This window comes from Homo sapiens, chromosome 9 (assembly GCF_000001405.40).
Source record: "Homo sapiens chromosome 9, GRCh38.p14 Primary Assembly".
In the NCBI taxonomy this organism is placed as follows: domain Eukaryota; kingdom Metazoa; phylum Chordata; class Mammalia; order Primates; family Hominidae; genus Homo; species Homo sapiens.
Window position 1 is genome coordinate 33889392 of NC_000009.12, and position 16838 is coordinate 33906229.

The 16838-nt window shown below is 41.3% G+C and overlaps 1 protein-coding gene across 5 annotated transcripts in view; it reads left to right on the plus strand.

Annotated features, from left to right (window-relative positions):
- The window catches only part of UBE2R2 (ubiquitin conjugating enzyme E2 R2), a 105232-nt gene that overhangs the window by 74224 nt on the left and 14170 nt on the right, over positions 1-16838 (plus strand). For all 5 annotated transcript variants that reach the window (XM_047423541.1, NM_017811.4, XM_011517949.2 and 2 more), the window contains one exon: positions 10783-10880. In XM_047423541.1, the coding sequence (XP_047279497.1) occupies positions 10783-10880 (98 nt within the window). The remainder of the gene's footprint in view (positions 1-10782; positions 10881-16838) is intronic.

Consider the following 16838-nt stretch of genomic DNA (forward strand, 5'->3'; position numbering starts at 1 on the left):
GACAGGGTTTCACCGTGTTAGCCAGGATGGTCTCGATTGCCTGGCCTCATGATCTGCCCACCTTGGCCTCCCAAGGTGCTGGGATTACAGGCGTGAGCCACCGCACCCGGCCCTCTCTTGCCTCTTTCATAAGGGTGCTAATCCCATTCATGGGTGACACCAAAATTCAGACCATAACAATGTCCCTGTCTAATAATTAAAGGTTTTTGCCTTTACAGTTACGTGGTGTATATATAGATTTTAGATAGCAAGAGAGAAGTGAGAAGGAGCAAACTTTTGTCTTGCAATTGAGAGCTAATTACTTTTGTGTTTTTGAGATGGAGTCTCGTTCTGTCACCCAGGCTGGAGTGTGGTGGCATGATTTCAGCTCACTGCAACTTCTGCCTCCCTTCAAGGATTCTTTTGCCCCAGCCTCCTGAGTAGCTGGGACTACAGGTGTGCACCACCACACCCAGCTAAGTTTTGTATTTTTAGTAGAGACAGTGTTTCACCATATTGGTCAGGCTGGTCTCTAACTCCTGATTGTGATCCTCCCACCTCGGCCTCCCAAAGTGCTGGGGTTACAGGCGTGAGCCACCGCACCCAGCAGAGAGTTAATTGCTCTTAAAGCCATATACATACTATTTCCATCTCAGTTATCTAATTCCCAAACACCTCTCAAAAAAGAAACAGAAAAATAGGATAAAGGAGTCAAAGCTCTACAGGAAAGAAGTGTAGGTAGGTAATTACACTCCCCTTTCCACTTTTTTTTCAGTACATAGGCTATTTAGTTCTTTCAAGAGATACCATTAGATCATGATATAAAATTTTTTCCATATTCATAATGAATTTTTCTACAATAAAATGCATGCATATCCCATAAATGTGTAGATATTTTTCACACACAAATGTTTTGTTTTTAAAGAAGTGATAGGCCGGGCGCAGTGGCTCACCCTATAATCCCAGCACTTTGGAAGGCTGAGTTGAGGAGTTCAAGACCAGCCTGGTCAACATGGTGAAACCCCGTCTTTACTAAAAATACAAACATCAGCTGGGTGTGGTGGCACGCGCCTGTAATCCCAGCTACTCAGCAGGATAAGGCAGGAGAATCGGCTTGAACCCGGGAGGCAGAGGTTGCAGTGAGCTGAGATCGAGCTAAGGCCGGGCTCGGTGGCTCACGCCTGTAGTCCCAGCACTTTGGGAGGCCAAGGCAGGCAGAACATGAGGTCAGGAGTTTGAGACCAGCCTGGCCAACATGGTGGAACTCCGTCTCCACTAAAAATACAAAAATTAGCCAGGCGCAGTGGCAGGTGCCTGTAATCCCAGCTACTCAGGAGGCTGAGGCAAGAGAATTGCTTGAACCCAGGAGGCAGAGGTTGCAGTGAGCTGAGATCATGCCACTGTACTCCAGCCTGGGCGACAGAGCAAGACTCTGTCTTGCAGGGACGGGGTGGTTGGGGGAAGAAGTGACAAATCATATTTAGGAATTAAATTTGATGTTGTCAAAGGAATCATAAGAAACTCTTCTCACGTGACTATTAACCTTCATAGCAGTATGGAAATAGTATCAGAATTGAAATTTTTGAGGACCAGTGTTGGTATTTGTGGTAATAGAGATCTAGAGACCCCATCTGGCCAAAAATAGTTTCTTATGTCATGTTTTTTGTTGTTGTTGTGTTTTTTTGTTTTTTTTTTTTGAGATGGAGTCTTGCTCTGTCACCCAGGCTAGAGTGCAATGGTGCAATCTTGGCTCACTGCAACCTCCGCCTCCCGGGTTCAAGCTATTCTCCTGCCTCAGCCTTCTGAGTAGCTGGGATTACAGGTGCCTGCCCGGCTAATTTTTGTATTTTTAGTAGAGACGCCGTTTTACATCTTGGCCAGGCTGGTCTCGAACTTCTGACTTCGTGATCCACCTGCCTCGGCCTCCCAAAGTGCTGGGATTACAGGAGTGAGCCACCACACCCAGCTCTTATGTTTTTAAAAAGACAGGTGTGGTCAGGTGTGGTGGCTTACGCCTGTAATCCTAACACTTTGGGAGGCCGAGGTAGGCGGACCACTTGAGGCCAGGAGTTCAGGACTAGCCTGGCCAACTCAGTGAAATCCCACCTCTACTAAAAATAGAAAAAATTAGCTGGGCATGGTGGCACACACCTGTAATCCCAGTTGCTTGGGAGGCTGAGGCATGAGAATCGCTTGAACCCAGGAGGCAGAGGTTGCAGTGAGCCAAGATTGCACCACTGCACTCCAGCCTGGGCAACAGAGTGAGACTCCTGTCTCAAAAAATAAATAAATAAATAAATCAAAAGACAAGCGCTTTGGTCACAGTTTATTAAATAAATGTATAGATATATTACTGCAGCCCCCAAAAGTTGTAAATAACTGTTGTGTTACATGAGTGGATTTATTTTAAAATTGTCTTCTCCTTGAGTTAAAGCTGCAAAACTTTCTGTTGTTGTTGGCTGGGCACAGTGGCTTATGCCTATAATCCCAGCACTTTGGGAGGCTGAGGCAAGTTCACCAGGCGTAGTGGCACATGCCTGTAGTCCCAGCTACTTGGAAGGCTGAGGTGGGAGGGTCACTTGAGCCTAGAAGGTCGAGGCTGCAGTGAACTGTGTATATGTATGTGTGTGTGCATATATATATTTATATTTTCATCATTACCATATTTGTGAAATTCATTAGTATCAATGGAGAACTAGGAAAACTAAGGAAATTTGATAGGAATTTGTCATCAGTGATTGTGCTGCACAATCTATTTCCTTTCTGCTTTGCGAATTTGTCATCAGTGATGGTACTGCACAATCTATTTCCTTTCTGTTTTGCACTGTGTTTAGTGAGCCTTAATATATATGTTACTGGTTACATTCTGGTCATATTGTTAAAAAGTAGACAACTAATGAGCACCATATTTTTCACAAACTGTATTACAATGAGAGTTCATATAACACTTTCTTTACTACAGACTTCACAGATAAGGCAACACATAGAATTTCACTGTTCATTAGTACCTAAACATTTTTTATAATAGACATTAATTTTTAGAGCAGTTTTGGGTTCATTACAAAATTGAGGGGAAAGTTCAGAGAAAAAAATTGCTGATTATTTTATTAATAGTGTGTTGTAGAACACAGTATGGAGCTTTTTATAAGTTCCTCTATGGGGTTATACATTTATAGGTTTATCTATATGGTACATTAGGCATCATTTAGAATATATTAGTATTTAGGCCACTAAATTTGTACTTTTCAGAGCTGAGCTCTGGTTTGTAAATAACTTGTCACAAGCAGGATTTTATGCATATTTATGTAATTCTTGGATTTACAGATCTTATCCATTTTCTCTTAACATTTTAAGATATAGGGAAAAGGTTTCCTAAGTATTGACATGCCCAAATTTGGCCATATATCAGAATCATGTGGAGAAGTTATTAAAAAGAATCCTGGAAATTTTTATTTAATTGGATTTGGATGGGGTGTAGGCTAGATAATTCTTCATTTTATCTTTTAGAATCCCCATTCTAGAGTCCAATAACTTCCTTATTAAAAAAAAAAGAATTTATTGAGATGAAATTCACATACATAAAATTAACCATTTAAAGTAAACAATTTGCAGGGAGATCCCTTGAGCCCAAGAGTTCGAAGTTTCAGTGAGCTATAATCATGCTACTGCACCAGCCTGGGTGACAGAGCAAGACTGTATCCTTCATTCATAAATAAATAAGTAAATAAATAATCAATTCAATAACATTTAGTATGTTCATAATGTTGTACAACTATTAATACCTCTATGTAGTGGTAAAGCGTTTCCATCACTCCAACTTAAAATACACTACATATGAAGTAATTTCTCTCCGTTCCCATGTTCCCTCAATCTCTGGCAACCACTCATCTGCTGTCTCTATAGATTTACATATTGCAGATATTTAGTATAAATAGCGTCATATAGTATGTGACATTTTGTGTCTGGCTTGTTTCACTCAGCACAATATTTTGGAGATTCATCCACCTTGTAGTATGTATCAGTACTTCATTCCTCTTCATGGCTGAAGAATATTGCATTATATAGATATACCACAATTTGTTTCTACATTTATCTTTTGATGGACACATTTGGATTGTTTCTCCCTTTTGTATATGTGAATAGTGCTGCTCTGAACATGCATGTGCATGTAGTTTTTGAGTACCTGTTTTCAGTTCTTTGGGTTACATACCTAGGAGTGGAATTGTGGGGTTAAATGGGAATTCTATGTTTAACTTTTTATTTATTTATTTATTTATTTTTTGAGACAGAGTCTCACTCTGTTGCCCAGGCTGGGATGCAGTCAGGATTTCAGTTCACTGCAACCTCTGCTCCTGGCCCCAAGCTATTCTCGTGCCTCAACCACCCAAGTAGCTGGGATTACAGGTGTGCACCACCACGCCCAGCTATTTTTTGTATTTTTAGTAGAGACGGGATTTTGCCATGTTGGCCAGGCTGATCTAGAACTCCTGGCATCAAGTGATTCACCTGCCTTGGCCTCCCAAATGCTGGGATTACAGGTGTGAGCCACTGTGCCCAGCTGACTTTTTCTTCCTTCTTTTTTCTTTTTTTTTAAACCCATTTTCCTGTTAGTGCTGGGATTACAGGCATGTGAGCCACTGTGCCCAGCCATCTTTTAAATGGACTGCCAAATTTTTTCTCATAGCAGCTGAACTGTTTACATTCCCACCAGCAGTGTGTGTGTGTTCCAGTTTCTTTACATCCTTACCAACACTTGTTATTTTCCTTTTCTTTAAAAAAGGCTAGGTGCAGTGGCTCACATCTGTAATTTCAGCACTTTTAAAGGCCAAGGCAGGAGGATTGCTTGAGGCTAGGAGTTTGAGACCAGCCTGGGCAACATAGCAAGATCCCCATCTCTATATTTAAAAAAAAAGGACAAAATATAGCTATCCTAAGTGGGTGTAAAGTGGTAGCTCATTGTGGTTTTGCTTTGCATTACCCACATGGCTTATGTTGAGCATCTTTTCATGTGCTTATTGGCCATTTGTATACCTTCTTTGGAGAAATGTCTGTCCTAGCTCATTTTTTATTTTTCATTTATTTTTGGGGAATGGGGTCTTGCTCTGTTGCCCAGGCTGGAGTGGCCCAGTCATGGCTCACTGCAGCCTCAAACTCCTAGACCCAAGCAGTCCTCCCACATCCACCTCCCAAGTAGCTGGGACTACAAGTGTGTGCCACTACACCTGACTAGTAAAATTTTGGGGGGGGCCACATGTGGTGGCTCACACCTGTAATCTCAGCAGTTTGTGTGGCCAAGGTAGAAGGATTGCTTGAGCTCAGAAGTCAGGACAATCCTGAGTAACAGCGCAACTCCATCACTATAAAAAAAATTTTAAAATTGTCCAGGTTTGCTGGCTGTTATCTGTGGTCCCAGGTACTTGGGAGGCTGAAGTGGAAGGATCACTTGAACCCGGGAGGTAGAGGCTGCAGTGAGCTGAGATTGCACCACTGCACTCCAGCCTGAGAGACAAAGTGAGACCTTGTCTCTTTATGTCACCCAGGCTGGTCTGGAACTCCTGGCCTCAAGCAGTCCTCCCCGCTCAGCCTCCCACAGTGGTGGAATTACAGGCATGAGCCACTGTACCTGGCCTTCCCTATTATTGAAATGGATATCTTTTTGTTACTGAGTTTTAGGAATTCCTTATATATTATACATATTAAACCTTTATCAGATATATGATTTGCAAATGTTTTCTCCCATTCTATAGGTTGCCTTTTCACTTTCTTGATAATGTCCTTTAGATGCATAAAAGTTTTCCATTTTAATGAAGTGCAGTTATTTCCAAGTCTTTGATCTATTTTCAGTTAATTTTTGTATATGACATGAGGTAGGAGTTCAGTTGCATTTTTTTGTTTGTAGAAATCCAGTTGTCCCACTACCATTTATTGAAGAGTCTGTTTTTTCCCCATTGAATGGACTTGGCATCCTTGTCAAAATCAATTGGCCATCAATGTATTGGATTATTTCTGGACTCTCAATTGTAAATTATATTCCATTGGTTTATATGTCTGTCATTATGCCAGTACTGAACAACATGGTTGTCTTTGTAGTAATTTTTAAAATTAGGAAGTGTGAATCCTCCAACTTTTGCTTTTTCCACATTGTTTTGGCTCTTTGGGTCCCTTAAATTGCTATATAAATTTTAGGATTACCTTGTCAATAACTGTAAAATGGGAAGGTAGGATTTGATAAGGATTGTGTTGAATGAACCTGTAGATCAAACTGGGGAATAGAACCATCTTAACATCGTAACTCTACATTTTTTAAGATCTTTTAAAATTTCTTTGAGCACCGTTTTGTAGTTTTCAACGTACAAGTCTTTTCCCTTCCATGACTAGATTTATTCTCTCTCTCTCTCTTTTTTTTTTTTTTTTTTTTTTGAGATGGAGTCTCGCTCTGTTGCCTAGGCTGGAGTGCAGTGGCTCGTACTCAGCTCACTGTAACCTCTGCCTCCCGGGTTCAAGCGATTCTCCTGCCTCAACCTGCTGAGCAGCTGGGATTACAGGCATGAGCCACCATGTCTGGCAAATTTTTTGTATTTTTGTAGAGACGGGGTTTCACCATGTTGGCCAGGATGGTCTCGAACTCCTGGCCTCAAGTGATCTGCCAGCCCCGGCCCCCCAAAGTGCTGGGATTACAGGTGTGAGCCACCCCGCCTGGCCAGATCTATTCTTTTAAATGACAATTATCAATGGAATTGTTTTCATAATATCCTATTAGGTTATTTTTGCTAGTTTATAAAAATAAAAGTGACTGAGTTTTGATTATGTATCCTATAACTTTCCTGAATTTATTAGCTTTTGTAGCTTTCTTATATAGGATCATGTCATCTGTGTATAAAGATGCTTTTCTCCCCTTCAACTCAGTTTCCTTTTTTTCTTTTCCTTGTCTAAATACTCTGGTTAGAAATTTCCAGTACAATGTTAAATAGCAGTGGTGAAAGCAGGCATCCTTGTCAAGCTCCCGATCTTAGGAGTAAAGCTTTTAGTCTTTCACCATTGTCACCACTGAGTATGATGTTAGCTGTGGGTTTTTTTGGTTTTTTTTTTTTAGATGGAGTCTTACTCTGTCGCCCAGTCTGGAGTGCAGTAATACGATCTCGGCTCACTGCAACCTCCGCCTCCTGGGTTCAAGCGATTCTCCTGCCTCAGCCTTCTGAGTAGCTGGGACTACCGGCGCTGTGTCATGACTGGCTATTTTTTTTTTTTTTTGTATTTTTAGTAGAGACGGGGTTTCACCGTGTTAGCCAGGATGGTCTTGATCTCCTGACCTGGTGATCTGCCCGCCTTGGCCTTCCAAAGTCCTGGGGTTACAGGCGTGAGCCACCGTGCCTAGCAACTGAGGGTTTTTAATAAATGCCCTTTATCATGTTAAGATAATTCCCATCTATTCATAGCTTTCTGATTGTTTTTATCATGAAAGAGTGTTAGATTTTGTCAAATCCATTGTCTGTGTCAATTTGGATGCCTATTTTCTAATATGTCATTTTGAAATGCAAATCTGTTGAGTTCATTCCACTACTAAGAAGGTTGTGTTTTTTGTGTTTTTTTTTTGTTGTTTGTTTTTTTAATATATATTACGCTCTGAACCAAGTAGCATACTTCTGTGGCCTAATTTTTTTTTTTTTTTTTTTTTTTTTTTTTTGAGACGGAGTCTCGCTCTGTTGCCCAGGCTGGAGTGCAGTGGCGCGATCTCAGCTCACTGCAAGCTCCGCCTCCTGGGTTCACGCCATTCTCTTGCCTCAGCCTCCTGAGTAGCTGGGACTACAGGCGTCTGCCACCACGCCCGGCTAATTTTTTGTATTTTTAGTAGAGACGGGGTTTCACCATGTTAGCCAGGATGGTCTCAATCTCCTGACCTCGTGATCCGCTGGCCTCGGCCTCCCAAAGTGCTGGGATTCAGAAAAACTCTTTTTTTTTTTTGGAGACAAGAGTTTCGCTTTTGTTGCCCAGGCTGGAGTACAATGGTGTGATCTCGGCTCACCGCAACCTCCGCCTCCCGGGTTCAAGTGATTCTCCTGTCTCAGCCTCCCGAGTAGCTGGGATTACAGGTGCGTGCCACCACGCCCGGCTAATTTTTGTATTTTTAGTAGAGATGGGGTTTCATCATATTGGTCAGGCTGGTCTCGAACTCCTGACCTCAAGTGATCTGCCTGCCTCGGCCTCCCAAAGTGCTGGGATTACAGGCGTGAGCCACTGCACCTGGCCAGAAAAACTCATTTCTACATTTCCCATAGGTTGTTTAAATTGTTATTATTAAAGGAAAGCTCATCTCAAAGCTTCCTCAACAACAAAGCCTTTTATCTTCCACCCCACCTCCCACGCATTCACTGCCCAAATATACCAAGTTTCTCTTTTCTTTTTTCTTTTTTTTTTTTTTTTTGAGATGGAGTTTTGGTCTTGTTGCCCAAGCTGGAGTGCAATGGCACAATCTCGGTTCACCACAACCTCCACCTCCCAGGTTCAAGTGATTCTCCTGCCTCAGCCTCTCGAGTAGCTAGGATTACAGGCATGCACCACCACGCCTGGCTAATTTTGTATTTTTAGTAGAGATGGGTTTTCTCCATGTTAGTCAGGCTGGTCTCGAACTCCTGACCTCAGGTGATCTGCCCGCCTTGGCTTCCCAAAGTGCTGAGGTTACAGGCGTGAGCCACCACGCCCGGCTCTCTTCTTTTTGTTTTTTGTTTTTGTTTTGAGATGGAGTCTCGCTCTGCCGCCCAGGCTGGAGTGCAGTGGCGTGATCTCAGCTCACTGTAACCTCTGCCTCCCGGGTTCAAGGGATTCTCCTGCCTCAGCCTCCTGAGTAGCTGCGATTACAGGTGCCACCACGCCCAGTTAATTTTTGTATTTTTAGTAGAGATGGGGTTTCATCATACTGGCCAGGCTGGTCTTAAACTCTTGACCTTGTGCTCTGCCTGCCTCAGCCTCCCAAAGTGCTGGGATTACAGATGTGAGCCACCATGCCTGGCCTCTCTCTTCTTTTATCTGTAGTAACTTTTTACATGCCTTATGGTATCTAACCATAAGGCAGTGTGTTAGAATATAATATTTTGTATTAATTTTATTTTAAAAATATTTTATATTGATAATGGTTACATATATATTCATATAGTTTCTATGTGTCTAAATTTGGGTTGTATATGTAAGATTTTTGCACTTTATATAGTTATACCTCCAGTTTTTTAAAAATATAAATCTTAAGTCGTGTGTGGTAGCACACCCTAGAGTCCCAGCTATGGGACTACTGAGGTGTGAGGATCACTTGAGGCCAGGAGTTAGTGGCTGCAGTGCACCATGGTTGTCTTATGCATAATCACTGCACTACAGCCTAGGTAACATAGTGAGACTCCCATCTCTAAAGACAGAAAGAAGTTAAATAAATAAATAAATCTTACCTTCCATGTTAGGCTAAGTCCAAGAGATAAGTCACTGTATTTTACCTAACTTTATCTTTTCTATTGAATTGTGTTCTGTATTGCACATGGTGGGCAATCCATATGTGTATGAATTAACCTAAATGTACTTGTGGATTAAGTTGTGTTAAGTTTATGAAGCAAAATATAATAGCCATAGTGGGAAGTCATTCTAACCATACCTTGAGGATGTTAACATTTGCTGCGAGGCATATTTTTGGTTTATATAAGTCATGGTTATTGACATAGCATCTATCTGAGTAGATATTAAGCAAGGTTAGATATTTTTTCTTCCTTTTTATGTACTCTAGGTACACAGATATATCTGAAAACAAAGGGATATATATTTGGCTGCTTCTAAGACAATTGAGTCTTGATTTATTATGTTTGTCTTTTTTTTTTTAAGATGGAGTCTCATTGTGTTGCCCAGGCCGGAGCACTATCTTGGCTCACTGCAACCTCCGCCTCCCGGGTTCAAGCGATTCTCCTGCCTCAGCCTCCTGAGTAGCTGGGATTACAGGCGCGTGCCACCACGCCCGGCTAATTTTTGTCTTTTGTTTTTGTTTTTTTGAGACGGAGTCTCCCTCTGTTGCCCAGGATGGAGTGCATTGGCGCGATCTTGGCTCCCTGCAACCCCCACCTCCCAGGTTCAAGCGATTCTCCTGCCCCAGCCTCCTGAGTAGCTGGGATTACAGGGGAGTGCTACCACGCCCGGCTAATTTTTGTATTTTTAGTAGAGACGGGGTTTCACCATGTTGTTCAGGCTGGTCTCGAACTCCTGACCTTGTGATCTGCCCACCTTGGTCTCCCAAAGTGCTGGGATTACAGGCGTGAGCCACCGCGCCCAGCCAATTTTTGTATTTTTGGTAGAGATGGGGTTTCGCCATGCTGGTCTCAAACTCCTGACCTCAGGTGGTCCACCCGCCTTGGCCTCCCAAGTGCTAGGATTACAGGCGTGAGACACCGCGCCCAGCCCCAGTCAATTTTTTATCAGGATTGTACTATAGGAATAGTAAGTCTTCTCACTAGAAAATATACCTTGGAGATTGGTCGAAATAAATATTATATTTTAATGTTCCTAAGTAAACATAGGGATCGTTTGTTTCATCAGGATTGTTCTATAGGAATAGTAAGTCTTCTCACTAGAAAATATACCTTGGAGATTGGTCAAAATAAATACTTTTAAAATGCTTAATTATTATTTATCTTTGATGTTGAACATAAAAAGCAGAATTGTTTTCTCCTTTGATGAAGAAACAGTTTCTAGGAATAAAGGAAACTTTAGAACCGATGTCCCTTTTTGTACATCACTTTTTGAGTATTTACTGAATGTAATGTTTGTGTCTTGTAGAATGGAGATGTATGCATTTCGATTCTTCATCCGCCTGTAGATGACCCACAGAGTGGAGAACTGCCTTCTGAAAGGTGGAATCCTACTCAGAATGTGAGGTAAGGAGGAATCTGGTTTTGGAGTTATTCTTAATCTCCTTATTGTCTTTGCTCCTAGTAAAATAAAATTATGTATTGTCTTTTAACATGTAAAAAATCATCTTTCTTATATTCAGTTTCTTTGTCTTTAGCTAGAGCTTTAAGAAATATGTATGCGTCATTTTGAAGAGCTGTATTTACTAAACAATAATGTATATGATTCTCATTTCCCTATGTTCACTTAGGAATAGATTTTCAAGCCTGAATCCCTACTCTTAACTTATCCTAGTTCTACTCTGGTTCTTTATTACCACCTAACATTAGTGTCATTCATTGGTTGCAGTTAATAAACAATGTTAATTCATTATAAGTAACTGAAGTCCATACGCTTTCACATTTCCTTTGTTTTTACCTGTCGTTGTTTTGCTCCAAAATATTTCATACATATAAATATATATCTATATATGTACGTGTATACATATATGTATTTAAATTTTTTGTAGAGATGGGGTCTCACTAAGTTGCCCAGCTGGTCTCAAACTCCTGGCCTCAAGCAGTCCTCCCCACTTGGCCTCCCAAAGCGCTGGGATTATAGGCATGAGCCACTGTGCCCTGCTCATCACATTATATTTAATAGTCATGTCTTCATGGGCAACTCCTCTCTCTCTCTGTCTCTGTCTCTCTCTCTCTCTCTGTTTCTGTCTGTGTCTCTGTCTCTTGTCTTTGAGACAGTGTCTTCCCGTCACCCAGACTGGTGTGCAGCGGTGTGATCACAGGTCACTGCAGCCTCGACCTCCTGGGCTCAAGTGAGCCTTTCACCTCAGCCTCCCAAGTAGCTGTGACTATAGGTGTATGCCACCATACCTAGCTATTAAGCAACTCTTGATTATAAATTTTCTTGTTTTTGATGACAATTTTGGGGGGTACTGATCAGGTATTTTGTGCAATGTCCCCCAGTTGAGATTTTTCTTATGTGTTTTCTCATGATTAGTCTAGGGTTATAGGTTTGGGAGAGAAAGACCAGAGAAGTAATGTGCCATTTTCATTATGTCATATCTGAAGTATTTACTATCAGTGTGGCTTATCCCTGTTGATGGGATACCTTTCATCACCTGCCTGAAATAATATTTTTAGCTTTTCTCCACTGTAAAGTTGCTCTTTCCTGAACTTTTCATTCTGTACTCCTTGGAAGGAATATGCATAGCCCACAACTAAGGAGAGGGTGGCTATACCTCCTTGAAGCCAGGGTATCTATATAAATTATTTTGAATTCTTCTGCATGGATTGATCTATTCTTCCCCTTTATTTGTTTATTCAATCATTTGTTAAACATTTTTACTGATACAAAAACTAATAACTTGATTAGAATCTCCAGGTTTATCAAAAGTGAAGAATTGGAAGCTTCCTGACTTGTAATAGAAGCTCTTCAAGATGTGTCAAATGACTGTTGATTATGTTTGTTACTCATTCCTTTGGGTACCTTGTTCCATCCAATTTATTTAGAAAGAGTTGAGAAAATAGATATATTAAAGATTTCAGCATATCTTACCAATATATTTTTTAAGACAAAAAATGTTACTTTCTTTCTAAATTCAAATAAATGTGTTTTTACACCTCACCTTGACAACCATCATCCCTCTGAATGTTTTTTTCTCATATTTCTTTTTTTTTTTTTTTTTTTAAGACAGGATCTTGCTCTGTCGCCCAGGCTGGAATGAAGCGGCGCGGTCACGGCTCAGCACAGCCTCAACCTCCCGGGCTTGAGCAATCCTTCCACTTTAGTCTCTTGGGTAGCTGGGACCACAGGCATGCATCACGGTGTCTGCTCAAGATTTTGTATTTTTTTTGTAGAGAGATGGGGTTTTGCTTTGTTTCCCAGGCCAGTCTCAAACTACTGGGCTCAAGCAATCCACTTGGCCTCCCAGAATGCTCAGATTATAGGTGTGCCCCAAAGCACCTGGACTAATTTTTAAGTTTTTTGTAAAGATGGGGTCTCACCATGTTGCCCAGGCTGGTCTGAAACCCATGGGCTCAAGTGATGCCCCTGCCTCAGCCTCCCAAAGTGTTGGGATTACAGGTGCTCACACTACACCCGCCTTCTGAATCTCTTATCTATACAAGAATAATACCTACCTCAGTAGGTTGTTGATAGAATTTAAGTGAATAATGCATGTAAACCTACTAGAATGGTGGATATTACCTGGCTGGCTTGGGTTGCAGCTATTATTTTCAAGGAATTTTTTGGGTCTAATGTGAAGCAGTCATTTGCTATCTATTAGAAGAGAAACACATTTCTTAGTTCCTCATATTTATTTCATTTTGCTACAGGGAGACATAATTGCTAGATGCCTGTATCGTAACCAGTTCAAGTAGTACATAATTTATCTTGGGTTCTAAATACATGAAAAGAACTAAAATAATTGTTTTGAGCTGTTTTTGAGATATTCTGTAATTGAGAATACGCTTTCTTTTTTTGAGGGGAAAAGTGTCCTACGTAGCAAATTATGTATACATGAATTATCTCGATAGACTCAATTTTAAATTAGTATTAAAAATTCTGAGTTGTAGGCCGGGCGCAGTGGCTCACGCCTGTAATCCCAGCACTTTGGGAGGCCAAGGTGGGCAGATCACCTGAGGTCGGGAGTTCAAGACTAGCCTGACCAACATGAAGAAACCCTGTCTCTACTAAAAATACAAAATTAGCTGGGCATGGTGGCACCTGCCTGTAATCCCAGCTACTCGGGAGGCTGAGGCAGGAGAATTGCTTGAACCTGGGAGGCGGAGGTTGCGGTGAGCCAGGATCGTGCCACTGCACTCCAGCCTGGGCAACAAGAGTGAAACGCTGTCTCAAAAAAAAAAAAAGTCTGAGTTTTATGTATTCTATATTACTCAAGAGTATGTTTGAGGGTGCTACGTCTTCAGAAGTAATTGTAGCACATTATTTTGACATTATAATTAGACAATGTGTATAAAAGTTTTTAAAAAATATTTTGGATGATTTGTTGAAAAAATTGCATCCAAAAAAATCCCCAGTTGTACTTTAATAATGATTCTGGTGCATGGATTTTCAGGACGAGTAATAACCCTAGATTAGAGGAAGTGGTAGCTATAATACTGGTGATTCTTGGTTTTGCTGGTTGAACGTTGAATCAAATGCTTACACCCTCTCCCTATTTGAGAAAATAAGCTTCCCCTTTCCTCAAATACAAAGCCCCAAACAAGATTTTCCTCATTGCATTTTTATGCTGCTTGGCTGGATAATGTATTGCCACCACCCATGGGAATTCAGGCTTTTTATCCTTTACTTCTCTTGCATTTACACGCAAATGATGTCATTTGCCTTATCTCAGCTTAAAGTATTATGAACATTTTTTCTTTTAAAATAGGCCTACTTCTCATGTAATCCAGTCTTTTGGAGGCAGAGGATTCCTTTTATACTTATCTGCCCATCTGAAACTGCCTTTGTTACTTTGGGTACTAGCATCATTTTGTTTCCTCACACTTGAGTCCCCAGGCCACCTGAGCCACAATTTAGGGACATTCCCCATACTCAAATCAAGATTGTTTTCCCTGCTTTTATGCTGCTTTGTTTAGAAGCTTCCCAACTACAACTAGTTATGTGGAGTTACACCTAACATCTTCACACAGCTCTACAAGGTATTTGGGTTGGAAATTGTTTACCTTCTTAGACTTTTTATCACTTAGTTCTATGTAATCATTGGGTAGTCCTTCAACATTTTGATCTTATTGGTGTTTTCGGGGGCTGTGGGATGTTTTGTACACTTTTTGGAACCTCACCTGTCTGGAATACCTGGTGGTGCTCAGAACTCTGAGCGGAAGTCAGGAAAGCACTACCTAATGAGCAGATGTGGAATACTTTCGCTTATCCCTTTTGTTTCTGTGTTCACTTGGTTGTGAGACAAGGGAGGTTTTAAAGTAGTAAACTGTTATATTTTCTAACAGGTCATTTATGGCACTGAAATATTAAGAGGGAAGATACAAGATGTAGTGGAAATGGGCAACTATTTTCCTTCTTGTACCTCTCTGCTGCTAAATTATCTAGGGCCAGCAACTGTCTAAGGGTTCTGGGCTCCATGTCCAGTTTATGGGTGGCTGTAGTAAGACAGCAGTGGAGATGGCATAGGGTTCATCTCATCCTGTTTTGGAGTCTTATCTGCTGCCTCTCACTGGCATCTGAAAGTGATTCCATATTCACGTATTTGGTTTTCTTCTCCATAACCACGTGTACTCAAGACTATTGTTCAGCACCTCAATGGACATATTTATAACATAAAGTGGCAAATGGAGCACTTTTGTAACTTGAAGAATAAGGGACTCCAGTTACCTTCAAGAGTCTAAGTCAGTCTGTATTATCAGATCTGGTGAGTAGTGAGAGTTAGCCAACCTGAAAAGGAAGAATTTTAGGGATGCAGAGAATCAGCCAACTGGTGTTCACTAAAGGCTCGGTAGCTTGCTACCTCTTGGGAAAACCAGCATACTTCTTTTGAAAGAAAACATCCACAGGCCTCCTCCTCCCAGAGGCCCAGGATTAAATTGGTGGGGCTGGAGGTGGTGGGGAGAGTTTCTTCCTGAATTGGAAAGTTTTAAGGAGTAGGCATTTGTCAGCAAGAATGGAGTTGGGAGTTGCCACACGTCTTTGATTAGAAGTTCACAGCATTATGCCTCTTCCTGATGGAGGAAACAAAATGTGCCTTAATACATGATTTGTCTAGAATGATGTGGGAGCTTTGGGGATAGGGTAGGGTGGGAGTGGGAGTAGCAAAGCCCTCAGACTTTGCTATAGAGTTCACAGCTGCTTTCTGTGAGACACCATCCCCAGAACTACTATCTGCTATAGGCTCTGGGATGGTGAAGTGGTCTTGGTGTGGATTTGCTTTATGTTGAAAGAGGCATACATAATGTTTTCTTTTTCAATTTCAAAAATAAAGCGTGAAACCAAATTTATTAACCCAATCAAGAGAGGCTGTTGTTTGGTATAAAAGAGTCTGTCTCAGAAGTGGGGTAGGATATTTTTCTGTCTAGTCTTAAGAACAGAGAGCCAGAGACATCACCCCTAGCATTGGGTGCCAAAGTAAGCACAGTCAGGGGAAACAGGCATAACCATGCTGTTCCTAAAGCTCTTTTAAACCCAATTCTGGAACAGTGTGGTTTTATTTATTTGCTTCCTTGGTTTTTGTGCATGGGGTCCCACTGCCCTCAACCTGCCAATTCCATTCTCTGCAGATGATACATAATTTGGGCATTTAAAAACTGTAGTTGTATTCCTACCTTGCATTCTCAGGGATACATCAGTCAGCAGCAGATCCAGCACTGCACAGAAGGAGGTGTTATATTTGTTGGTTGCTTTAGCAGCCTAAAGAGAAACTTTATAATAATGTAAACCCGTTAAGCTACTATATTTTACCATCAGTTGCCCTGTTTTCCCTATCATAACAGGCTTCTTTATTCTTTGTCATGATGTCCTCTTTAAATCCCTCCCCCACATTGAAACATGCAATGAGGACTGAGCTTTAACTAGTCATCTGTAGTTACTGGCCCATCCTTTGATAGAGTGGAAATGAGAGATTTTAAGGACCCAGGACAACTAGAAAGGTCAGGGTAGAACCCAGAGTCAGTAAGAGTGGTAGTAACAGTATGCAGGATTTAGGTTTGGCTCCAGAGACCTGGACTTCACACATCAACTGTCATCACATTACGCTGGGTCTATAAAACTCAATATCTAAATCAATCTGCGTGTGTGTTTGTGTGTGTGCACATGTGCATACATGCATGCTTGCCCATGATTATGGCGTGAAGTAAGTTCAGGTTTTGTTGTTGTTGTTGTCGTCGTCGTCGTTGTTGCTGTTGTTGTTGTTGTTGTTGTTGTTTTGAAATGGAGTTTTGCTCTTGTTGCCCAGCTGGAGTGCAATGGTGCGATCTCAGCTCACTGCAAACTCCGTCTCCTGGGTTCAAGCAATT